The 12,136-nt window shown below is 39.2% G+C and overlaps 1 protein-coding gene across 3 annotated transcripts in view; it reads right to left on the bottom strand.

Moving 5' to 3' along the window:
* Nucleotides 1-12,136, bottom strand: part of SNX4 (sorting nexin 4) — a 73,553-nt gene that overhangs the window by 50,558 nt on the left and 10,859 nt on the right. For 2 of the 3 annotated variants that reach the window (NM_003794.4, XM_017007414.3), the window contains exons 2-5: nt 7,416-7,537; nt 852-987; nt 627-776; nt 134-181 (exon numbers count right to left, since the gene is read on the bottom strand). In NM_003794.4, the coding sequence (NP_003785.1) occupies nt 134-181; nt 627-776; nt 852-987; nt 7,416-7,537 (456 nt within the window). The remainder of the gene's footprint in view (nt 1-133; nt 182-626; nt 777-851; nt 988-7,415; nt 7,538-12,136) is intronic. The other variant, NR_073435.2, reaches the window with a different exon arrangement.

Consider the following 12,136-nt stretch of genomic DNA (forward strand, 5'->3'; position numbering starts at 1 on the left):
CTTACCAATGATATTTATTGTAAGACGATTTCCAACATTCATTTATTCAATAAATACCAAGTTCCCAATGAGTGCATGGCACCATGCTGGGAACTGTAAAGGAACATGGCAAATTTCATATAAATATTCTTACCTTCAGCTGAAACCCAGTTTCATTCACAGTCTCCTTCCAGTTACCTTCCTAAAAATTGAAGTTAATTTTAGAAATCATTATTGCAAAGCAAATATTCCAAATTAAGTAAATTAAATTTCTATCATTCTGTTCTTACTTCAGCAGGAATTGGAGAGAGAAGTTTAAAAAAATTTCTTTTCACTTCAAAATTAAACATTCAATCCAACTTCTAAAAGATTACCAAAGGTGAACCCAAGATTTTATAGATCTGGGCTTCAAAATACTGAAGACAAATTTTAATATTATTTAAATGATACCAAAAATACCATCATCAGTATCTTTAAATAGAAAAAGTTAACCAAAAGAATGACATAATCCATTAATTAGAAATTCATAACAAAAAATAAATTGCATATAAATTAATGAAAAGATCCTTAAAATAAGTATTCTACAATTTTTTTAAGAAACCCAAATTAAATGAATATTTTACTAAGACTAAATAAAAGAAAAATACCTGTGTTAAAAACAGATAGAAGATTTTGTCTCTACAAAGGATGGGATGTGAAGCAATCCTCAAGAGAAAGTTTTCTAAACCAATCCGTCGCCTCTCCACAAAATCTGGATCCATGTTGTCAGCAGAGAGTTTATGCCAAACAAATTCTGCCTAGGTAAACAAAATAATCATTAAGAATAGTCTCAATGCTGAATACTTCTAAACTACTGCCATTTCACTTCTTACCCGTTTTTCTGGCAGAGGTGGCACAACAATATGTGGATAGTAAACTAAAAGGTAGCTTCTCAACAACTCAAATTCACTATATCGCCGCCATAGTGAGTCTGTTAGGACACTCTGACCATCGGTATGTTCAACTGACCTGAAAAGGAACAGAACAACACTTGTTATTTTTTATAAACAAAAATACATACACATAAATACAATCACCTTTAAAATTATAACTACAGAATGATTATGAACCAGGCACTAAGTAAAGAACTTTTCATACATTTTTCTTTTTTTTCAAGACAGGGTCCCACTGTCGCTCAGGTTGGAGTGCAGTGGTGCAATCACCACTTACTGCAGCCTTCGCCTCCTGGGCTCAGGCAATCCTCCCACCTCAGCCTCCTGAGTAGCTGGGACCACAGGCACATGTCACCACATTGGCTAATACTTTAATTTTTTGTAAAGATGGGGTCCAGCTATGTTGCCCAGGCTGGTGTCAAACTCCTGGGCTTAAGCCATCCTCCTGCCTTGGCCTCATGTATTTTCATATTTAATCCTTATGACAACCCTGTGAGGCAGAGATTTATTATCCTCATTTTACAGATGAGGACACAGCTGCACAGTATATGCTCTGCCTATGATCACAAAGGTCTGTGGATAAAGCACTCAGATCCATCTGATTTCAAAGCCCTTACTCCTAACCACTTTCTTTCTGTTACAGAAAGCCTGTTTAAACATAAGAGAAACAGTTTTATTAGGAACACTCTAAAAGCCTTAATGCATAAATAATTGATTTTATAATATGATAAAATCTAGTTTAGCTAGTGTTTCATTAAATAAAAAGCATTTTTAACTTCACTTCTGCCAAAATGAGAGAATAACATTCACAACAAAGACCAAGACACCACAAAAACTTCAATTTAGGTTATTAATAAATCAGATTAATCCAAGTACCAAGAAATATCCAAAAGAACAAAATATTAGTTAGCTCTGAAAGAGTGGCGAAGAGGGGTCATAAAAATTCATCTCCAGTCTTACTTTTAATTATAAAGGGCTGGTAGGCAATGCCATGTCTCATACATACAAAAGTTCAATTTACTTTTGGCAGAAAGTTAAGGTAAAATCATATAAAGGATATTTTAAATATTTTGACTACTTAGGATTTCTTGCCAGCATAAGTAAGACCTATTAGGAAGCACCAGTCTTCTAAACATTATCAGGACCTTGCTATTTTCTAATTTGCTTGACAATAACCTGTTTGCCCTCCATGAAATGCACAAGGTGTATTTGTACATTAGGACAAAAAGTCACAGAACTTAAATCAGTCTCCAAATAGTCTAGAGAAAGTATTTACATCATGCCATGCTCAGCACAATAGATGCTCATTTTTATCATTTTTTAAGTTTGCTACTAAATTTATTCATTGCATATTAATAAAAATGAACCAAAATATGAAATGCAAAATTCACAAATGGCTCCCATGGCAAAAAAATAGAATTATTAAATCATAATTCATTTTAAAGAGTATACCTAGACATTAGTTATAACTAATACTATCCCAATTACAATGCCCAACTTCAGCTGAAAAATACTTGGGTTAATCTCAAGTTTCAAATTATTCAAAATCACTACCAACAAAACCCAAAACTTGTAAATAAGTGGATAAATAAAGCCTATAAGCAGTACACCTACAGGGCTGATAGAAGGTCTGCATAAGTGTTTAAAAAAAAAAAAAAAAAAAAACGCGGTTGGATGCGGTGGCTCACGCCTGTAATCCCAGCACTTTGGGAGGTCAAGGTGGGTGGATCAGGAGTTTGAGACCAGCCTGGCGAACATGGTGAAACCCCGTCTCTACTAAAAATACAAAAAATTATCTGGGCGTGGTGGCAGGTGCCTGTAATCCCAGCTACCCAGGAGGCTGAGACAGGAGAATTGCTTGAACCCGGGAGGCAGAGGTTGCACTGAGCTGAGATCGCGCCAACGCACTCCAGCCTGGGCAACAAGAGCGAAACTCCATCTCAAGAAAAACAAACAAACACCAAAAAAAAAAACCCAAAAAGGCAGGGTCTAGTAGTTTCATTATAAACTGACTAAAAGCACAGAGAAGACTTTCATTAGACCCCAAAACTACCTCATTTATCTAATCACTCAACAACTATTCAATAGTACCTAAATGGTTTTACTTGTAATATTTAACCCCCACAATGAAAATATGATCATTAACCATGTTTTACAAATTAAAAGAATTAATAACATACTGCCTTCCAAGCCATCAAGGCATTACTACCTATTCTAAAAGAGACATATATTTATTTTAAAAGAGTTCCTATTCAATGAAGAAGAACACATACAAAAATCTCTTGGGGAATTAAAAACCAGGGACTTTAGTTTTATTCAATCTTAGCCCACTAAACTATAACACTATAGAATAGGCACATATCAAAAATATCCTGTTTAACTTTAAACTTAAGAATTTACTGGCCAGGCGCAGTGGCTCATGCCTGTAATCCCAGCACTTTGGGAGGCCGAGGAGGGTGGATCACGAGCTCAGAAGATCAAGACGATCCTGGCTAACACAGTGAAACCCCGTTTCTACTAAAAAATACAAAAAATTACCCAGGCGTGGTGTTGCGCGCCTGTAGTCCCAGCTACTCGGGAGGCTGAGGCAGAATGGTGTGAACCCCAGAGGGTGGAGGTTGCAATGAGCTGAGATCGTGCCACTGCACTCCAGCCTGGGCGACAGAGCAAGACTCCGTCTCAAAAAAAAAAAAAAAAAAAAAAAAAAAAGAATTTACTTTGGAAGCTAGAGTTAACACTAATTTTTAAAGTATTTTTTAGGTGGCTAATTTACAAAAAAAAAAAAAATTACAGAAACAAAACCCTCTCGACAATTGGACTACAGACAGTTGCTAAATGGGCTTTCTACTTGTATCCAGAAGGTAGGTAGGTAGGTAAGCTACATGACAGAAGTTGAATTTCTAGTTAACATGAAGGGTCAATAATATTCATATTGTCCACAACTGTCTGCAAAACACTGAATTACAGAAACAATACTACATAATTAAATTAAGAAATTTGATGATTGCGGTTGATGAAGGTCAGTTAACCTTAGGGATAGTATAAAACAATCTATTCAAAATCAGTATTTCTCAAATCCCATGTCTATATGATGTGGAGTAGGGAAGAATTTCTTAAAACAGAAAAAACATAAATCATAAAGAGAAAAGACAGATAAACCTGTCTTAAAATGGAAAGCCTTTGTAGTTTAAAAGACAACAATCAAAATCATGGTCCAGCTGGGCACATTGGCTCACACCTGTAATTCCAGCACTTTGGGAGGAGGCCAAGGCAGGCAGATCACCTGAGGTCAGGAGTTCAAGACCAGCCTGGCCAACATGGCAAAACCCCATCTCTACTAAAAATACAAAAATCAGCTGGGTGTGGTGGTGCAAGTCTGTAATCCCAGCTACTTGGGAAGCTGAGGTGGGAGAATCACTTGAACCTGGGAAGAGGAGGTTGCAGTGAGTCAAGATCATGTCACGGCATTCCAGCCTGGGTGACAGAGCGAGACTCCACCTTAAAAAAAAAAAAAAAGGTCCATCGCCCATCTGTACTGAAAGCAGCTGGACCTTTAAATAAAAAATGTAAAATCCTGGGCCCTACCCCAAATCCTGCAGTTGTTTAACCAATTTTTCAAGTAATTCCAACATGTTTTTAAGTATAAAATCCATGTTTTAAAATAAATTTATATTGAAATATAGTTGTGAAAGTTGACTCAATAATCCTTTTGTGTGCCACACATTTATTGATGATCTACTTAAATATGTATTCACAGTCTAGCTATTACTGATGTATGGTCACTTCTAACTCCCAGGTTCAAATTAGAACTGGGCTACAGAAGAAAACAATGATCCTTTATTTATTTCAAAGTCAAGTACAAACATTATTAAGTTATTCCAGATTATCCAAATCAAGGTTCTCTCCTAGCAGTAAAAGTAATCAATACCTATGTGGGTGAAAAAACAGGCATATACTAAATATATCCTTTTTCATTGTAAACTTAAAATTTACTTAGAAGGCTACAGCTAACACTGTTTTCTAAAGTATTATTTTTAAAGTGGCTAATTTAACTTAAAAAACAAAAAAACAGAAACAAAAATCCTCTCACAGGGCCATGATCTTTAAAAAATAACCTTACAAATCTCTGGGATACATAAACATACATATGTCATGAAATGACCTAAGTTTGAAAAGAACCACATTACCTCTCTCATTTCCTAAACTTCTTACTGTATAAAAATTTTCTTTCTTTTTTTTTTTTAGAAGATTCTTTTCTCTCTTTTTCTTTCTTTCTGGTAGAAGGAAAACTAAATTTTCAGAATTGTCTGTAGACAATCTTCACCAAGATTTAAACTTTTATTTTAGGCAGAAACACAGACCTGGAAGAAGCCTTGAAAAGTCACAGGGTTCAGCACTAAGGCAAGCTCACAGGTAAAGCCTATGAAAATGGTAGGTTAAAATTTTTTTTCTTAAAAAAGTATTAACATTGGCCGGATGCGGTGGCTCGTGCCTGTAATCCCAGCACTTTGGGAGGCCGAGGTGGGTGGATCACGAGGTCAGAAATTCGAGACCAGTCTGGCCAACATGGTGAAACCCCATCTCTACTAAAACTACATGGTGACGGGCGCCTGTAATACCAGCTACTTGGGAGGCTAAGGCAGGTGAATCACTTGAACTCGGGAGGCAGGGTTTGCAGTGAGCCGAGATCGCGCCACCGCACTCTAGCCTGGGTGACAGAGTGAGACTCCATCTCAAAAAAAAAAAAAAAAAAGTATTAACATTAAAACATTGTTATAACACTTAACTTGGTTTGGTAGTTTTTTTTTTTTTTCTTTTTTTGAGACAGCCTCTCGCTCTGTCACCCAGGCTGGAGTGCAGTGGCAATCTCAGCTTACTGCAATCTCCACCTCCCAGGTTCAAGTGATTCTCCTGCCTCAGCCTCCCGAGTAGCTGGGACTACCACACCTGGCTAATTTTCATATTTTTAGTAGAGACGGGGTTTCGCCATGTTGGCCAGGGTGGTCTCAAACTCCTGACCTCAGGTGATCTGCCTGCCTTGGCCTCCCAAAGTGCGGAGATTACAGGCATGAGCCACCACGCCCAGCTAGGTTTGGTAGTCTATAATTTTACCGGCTATCAACAATTCTCTCATATCTATTTGTTTTAATTGAAAGCATTTCTGCTCAATCTCTGCAGACAGAAAAGAAATAGTACACTATTCTTTATATAAATTGTTAATAACTGACAACAACAAATTGAGTCTTCCCTTGCCTTTCTTTAGACAAAACAACTCTAATTCCTTTAGCTTTTCCCTTAGGAGGTAAAAGACAACTTTTCTGGTGAGTTTTTATTTCCTACTCCATAATTTGTCTTTTCTATTTTTACTCACCAAGTTCTTTTTCTTTGTTTTTTAAAGGTGTCTACTTCCCTTTATTCTTAATTTACTCCAAGTTCTAAAGCACCAATCTCAATGTTTCTGTTTGTTAATTTTTTGTAACTCCCAACTGTCCTAAGAGGATTCAGACCTTATTCTCTACTCCTAGAATTCTTTGTTAACCATTTCCACCTGCCCAAGTTCACTTCTACATGCCAGAGAACCTGGTATTCTTTTACAGAATTGCACAGGGATTCTAAGACCAAGGAATCCTCCAAAGCATGTATCGTTATTTGATACATGTTATTTATTCCAGATTCCAAAAGTATTCCACTAACCTCCCCTCTCCCCACAAAATAAATTCATTAAAATATAGCTATCTACCAAGAGTATCACAGCAAAAGATACAGCTGTTTACCCATTAAAAGATAAAGACACAGGGCTGGATGCAGTGGCTCACACGAGTAATCCCAGCATTTTGGGAGGCTGAGGCAGGAGTATCACTTGAGCCCAGGAGTTTGAGACCAGACTGAGCAACAGAGTGAGACCCCATCTCTACAAAAAATTTTAAAACTGCCAGACACAGTGGCTCACACTTGTAATCCGAACACTTTGGGAGGCCGAGGCGGGTGGATCGTTTGAGATCAGGAGTTTGAGACCAGCCTGACCAACACGGTGAAACCCTGTCTCTACTAAAAACACAAAAAAATTAGCTGGGTGTGGTAGCACATGCCTGTAATCCCAGCTACTTGGGAGGCTAAGGCAGGAGAATCGCTTGAATCCGGGAGACAGAGATTGCAGTGAGCCAAGATCATGCCACTGCATTCTAGCCTGGGCGAAAGAGTGAGACTCCATCTCAAAAAAAAAAAAAAAAAAAGCCAGCCATGGTGGCTCACGCCTGTATGCCAGCTACTCAGGAAACTGAGGTGACCCCAGGAGTTTGAGGCTGCAGTGAGCCATGACTACACCACTGCACTCCAGCCCAGGCAACAGAATGAGACCCTGTCTCAAAAAAAAGTAAAGAAACAAAGTCAATCCCGAAAAAAAAAATAACCTTTAAAAAATTCTGTTATACAGCAGAGTCTGCATCAATAGCTATCAGAAAAAGCTTTCTGTCTACCTGCCCAGGTGTAATTTCTGTTACCCACCTTGTTTCAATGAGGTAAGCAGTATATGTTTCTTGCATGTTCATGGCATTTCTTCCAGTTCGTTTTTCTGCTTCTGAAACACTGATTTCTATCTTCTTCAACCAAAAATTATTGTGTGTCATCTGGACAAAAGTAAATAAAACAACAACAACAACAAAAACCTTTAAGATGGTACTGAAAAAAGCCTCAGCTATATAAATTAAACCCATTATTGGGTTTATATATTTCAAAATAGTTACTTATAGTTCTTGAGTTGCCAGGGGTTGCAAAATGGCAGCAGCAAATGATAGCCTGTCAACAAACAAAAGTACATTAACTTTTCCAGAGGTATTTTAGTTATGTATGTATTTATTTTTATTTTTTTTGAGACCAAGTCTCACTCTGCCACCCAGGCTGAAGTGCACTGGCGCGATCTCAGCTCACTGCAACCTTCACCTCCTGGGTTCAAGGGATTCTCCTGCCTCAGTCTTCCAAGTAGCTGGGATTACAGGCACGCACCAACATGCTCAACTGACTTTGGTATTTTCAGTAGAAACTGGGTTTCACCATGTTGGCCAGGCTGGTCTCAAACTCCTGACCTCAGGTGTTCCACCTGCCTTGGCCTCCCAAAGTGCTGGGATTATAGGCATGAGCCACTGCACCCAGCCTTCCAGAGGTAGTTTAAAAGGTAAGAAAATATCTTAAAAACACATTAGACACAAAGGATTCTGGGAGGATAGTGGAGTAGGAAGCACCAGGAATCCATCTCCCCACCTAGACGACAACTGCACTGGCAGACTCTGTCTGATGTAAGTATTTGGGAACTCTGGAGTCCAATAAAGGCTTGCAACTCCCAGGGGAAGGCTTGGATGACAAAATGTGGTTAATTTCAATCAATTTCAGCTACCTATCCCTTAGTGCCTAGCAGGCAGCTGTGCAGCATTCCTGGAACAGCCTGATGCAGCCAGGGTAGGCAAAAAGGGCCTTGTTCTCCAAACATCCAGGATCTGTCCTCTGATCACCAACTGCTTCTTCTAAGAGGCACAGACGAAGTGGTGGTCATTGCTGTTGCTCCTCCCCATGTTGTTGCAAGCCTCTTGTCCTGGCTGAAGTGACTTCCAGGGGACTTCAAAAGCCAGCATCCTGTTTTTCCTCCCTTCATTTTTCTTTTGACCCCCTTTTGTAAGCCAGATGTTAAAAACTTGGACCTTCAGCCAGGTGTGGTAGAGCGTGTCTTTAGTCCTAACTACTAAGGAGGCTGAGGCAGGTGGATCAGTTCATCCCAGGAGGTCAAAACTAGACTGGGAAACACAGGAAGACTTTGTCTCTTCAAAAGAAAAAATTGGACATTTAAAAACAACTGGATTTGTGAGGACAATTAGAAAATAATCACACATGCCCAGGAAAAGGCTCAAGCTCAGGAAAGATCTATAAAGACTTTAAGTTTACACCTCTCTCAGGCTGATCTTTGGCATGGAGACAGCCTACAGTAATTAAAAAATAAATAAATAAATAACAAAAACAGCAACCCCCAGGGTAGGAGAAGAATTCGATGTCCAGAGTTACCACATTATTACATGCAAATGCCTAGTTTTCAACAACAACAAAAAAAATCACAAGGCATATAAAGAAACAGGGTGGTATGATCCCTTCAGAGGGAAAAAATACATCAACAGAAACTGCTCCTAAAAAAGACATGATGACAGATCTACTAGAAAAAGACTTTATCCCTTTTTTCATTTCTTTTTTTTTTTTTTTAGACAGAGTCTAGCTCTGTCACCCAGGCAGGACTGCTGTGGTGCAATCTCAATTCAGCGCAACCTCAGGCTCCTGGATTCAAGCGATTCCTGTGCTTCAGCCTCCTGAGTAGCCAGGATTACAGGCTTGTGCCACCATACCAGGCTAATTTTTTTTTTTTTTTTTCTGAGACAGTCTTGCTCTATCGCCAGGTCGGAGTGCAGTGGCACGATCTCAGCTCACTGTAACCTCCACCTCTTGGGTTCAAGGGATTCTCCTGCCTTAGCCTCCAGAGTAGCTGAGACTACAGGCCATGTTGTCCAAGCTTGTCTTGAAGTCCTGGGCTCAAATGATCCACCTGCCTCAGCCTTCCAAGCTGCTGGCATTACAGGCATGAGCCACCATGCCTGGATGACAAAGACTTTAAAGTAATCATCTTATAGATGCTCAGAGAACTTAAAGAAAGATGTGGAGAAAGTAAAAAAAAAAAAAAAAAAAAAAAAAAAAAAAAAAAAAAGATGTATGAACAAAATAGAAGTATCCAGTACAGAGATAGAAAACTTAAAAAGAAGCCAAAAAGTGGCAGGGCATGATGGTTCATGCCTGTAATCCCAGCACTTTGGGAGGCTGAGGCGGGCAGGTCACCTGAGGTCAGGAGTTCAAGACCAGTCTAGCCAACATGTTGAAACTCCATCTTTACTAAAAATACAAAAACTAGCTGGGTGTGGTGGCGGGCGCTTGTAATCCCAATCTCAGCTACTCAGAGACTGAGGCATGGAGAATTACTTGAACCCAGGAGGCGGAGGTTGCAGTGAGCAAAGACCACGCCACTGCACTCCAGCCTGGGTGATAGAAAAAAAAAAAAAAAAAAAAGAAACCAAAAAGAAATTCTGGAGCTGAAAAGTACAATAACTGAAATTAAAAGTTCACTAGAGGGGTTCAAAGGCAAATTTGAGCAAGCACAAGAGAGAACTGGCAAACTAGAAGATAGGAGAATGGAAATGATCAAGTCCAAGGAACAGAAAAAAGATGGAAGGAAAGTAAACAGAGCTTAAGGGACATGCAGGACACCATCAAACGGACCAACATGTGCACTGTGGTAGTAAGGAGAGGGGAGAGAGAAAAAGGAGAAGGGACAGTATCTGAAGAAATAATGGTTGAAAATTTCACAAATATGATAGAAGAAATGTATATAAACATCCAAGAAGCTTGACAAATTCCAAATAAGATGTTTACTGAGACACTTTATAACTTTTCAAAGACAGAATCTTGACAGCAGCAAGACAGAAGCAACTGATCATATATAAGGAATCTTCAATAAGGTTATCAGCAAATTTCTCATCAGAAACTTTGGAGGCCAGAAGACAGGGAGCTGATATCTTCAAAGTGCTAAAAAATAAAAATAACTGTCAATCCAGAATCCTATATCTAGCAAACTGTCCTTCAAAAGTGTGGGAAAAATTAAGACATTTCCAGAGGCAGGAGAATCGCCTGAACCCAAGAGGCGGAGGTTGCAGTGAGCCAAGATCACGCCACTGAACTTCAGTCTGGGCAACAGTCACACTCTGTCTCAAAAAAAGAAAACAAAACAAAAAAATAATGAAAATGAAATTATAAAAATAAGTCCATTTACAATAGCATCAAAAAGAAAAAATACTTGGGAATTAAGGTGGTAAAAGACTTGTACAATGGAAAGTATAAAACACTGCTAGAAATTAAAAGAAGATAAATAAATGAAAACACATCCCATGTTCATGATTTGGAAGATTTAATATTATGAAGATATCAAAACTACCCAAAGCAATCTATATATTCGATGCAAACCCTACGAAAATCCCAATGACATTCTTTGACATTCTTTGCAGAAATAGGAAAACTCATCCTAAGAGTCATATGGAATCTCAAGGGACCCCAAATAGCCAAAGCAATCTTGAAAATGAAGCATAAGGCCAGGTGCGGTGGCTCACGCCTGTAATCCCAGCACTTTGGGAGGCTGGGGCGGGCGGATCACGAGGTCAGGAGATTGAGACCATCCTGGCTAACACGGTGAAACCCCGTCACTACTAAAAATACACAAAATTAGCCGGGCGTGGTGGCAGGCGCCTGTAGTCCCAACCACTCAGGAGGCTGAGGCAGAAGAATGGCGTGAACCCGGGAGGCGGAGCTTGCAGTGAGCCGAGATCGCACCACTGCACTCCAGCCTGGGCAACAGAGCGAGACTCTGTCTCAAAAAAAAAAAAAAAGAAAATGTAGCATAAAATTGGAGGACTCATACTTCCTGGTTTCAAAACTTACTACAAAGCTACAGTAATAACAACAACGTGGTACTGTCATAAAGACAGGTATATAGACCTATGAAATCAGATAGTCCAGAAATAAACCCTCGAATATATGGTCAAACAATTTTGTGACGAGACAGTTCGATGGGAAAAGGACAATTTTTCCAACAAATGATGCTGGGAAAACTGAATATCTACATACAAAAAAAATAAATTGGACCCTTACCTAACACCGACACAAAAACTAACTTTAAATGGTTCAAAGACCAAAGCACAAAACTCTTAGAAGAAAACACGGGAAAAGTTTCAAGACACTGGATTTAACCATGGTTTCTTGGATATGACACCAAAGGCACAGGCAGTAAAAGAAAAAATTGGCAAATTGGACTCCATGAAAATTAAAAATGTCGTGCATCAAAAGACAATATTAACAGGCCAGGCGTGGTGGCTCATGCCTGTAATCTCAGCACTTTGGGAGGCAGAGGCAGGAGGATTACTTGAGGTCAGGAGTTCAAGATCAGCCTGGCCCACATGGTGAAACCGCATCTCTACAAAAATACAAAAATTAGCCAGGCGTGGTGTCATATCTGTAATCCCAGCTACTCAGGAGGCTGAAGCAGGACAATCGCTTGAACCTGGGAGGTGGAGGTTGCGATGAGCCAAGATTGCACCACTGCACTCCAGCCTGGGCAACAAGAGCGAAACTCCGTCTCAAAAAAAAAAAAA

This window comes from Homo sapiens, chromosome 3 (genome assembly GCF_000001405.40).
Source record: "Homo sapiens chromosome 3, GRCh38.p14 Primary Assembly".
NCBI classification, from domain to species: Eukaryota; Metazoa; Chordata; class Mammalia; order Primates; family Hominidae; genus Homo; species Homo sapiens.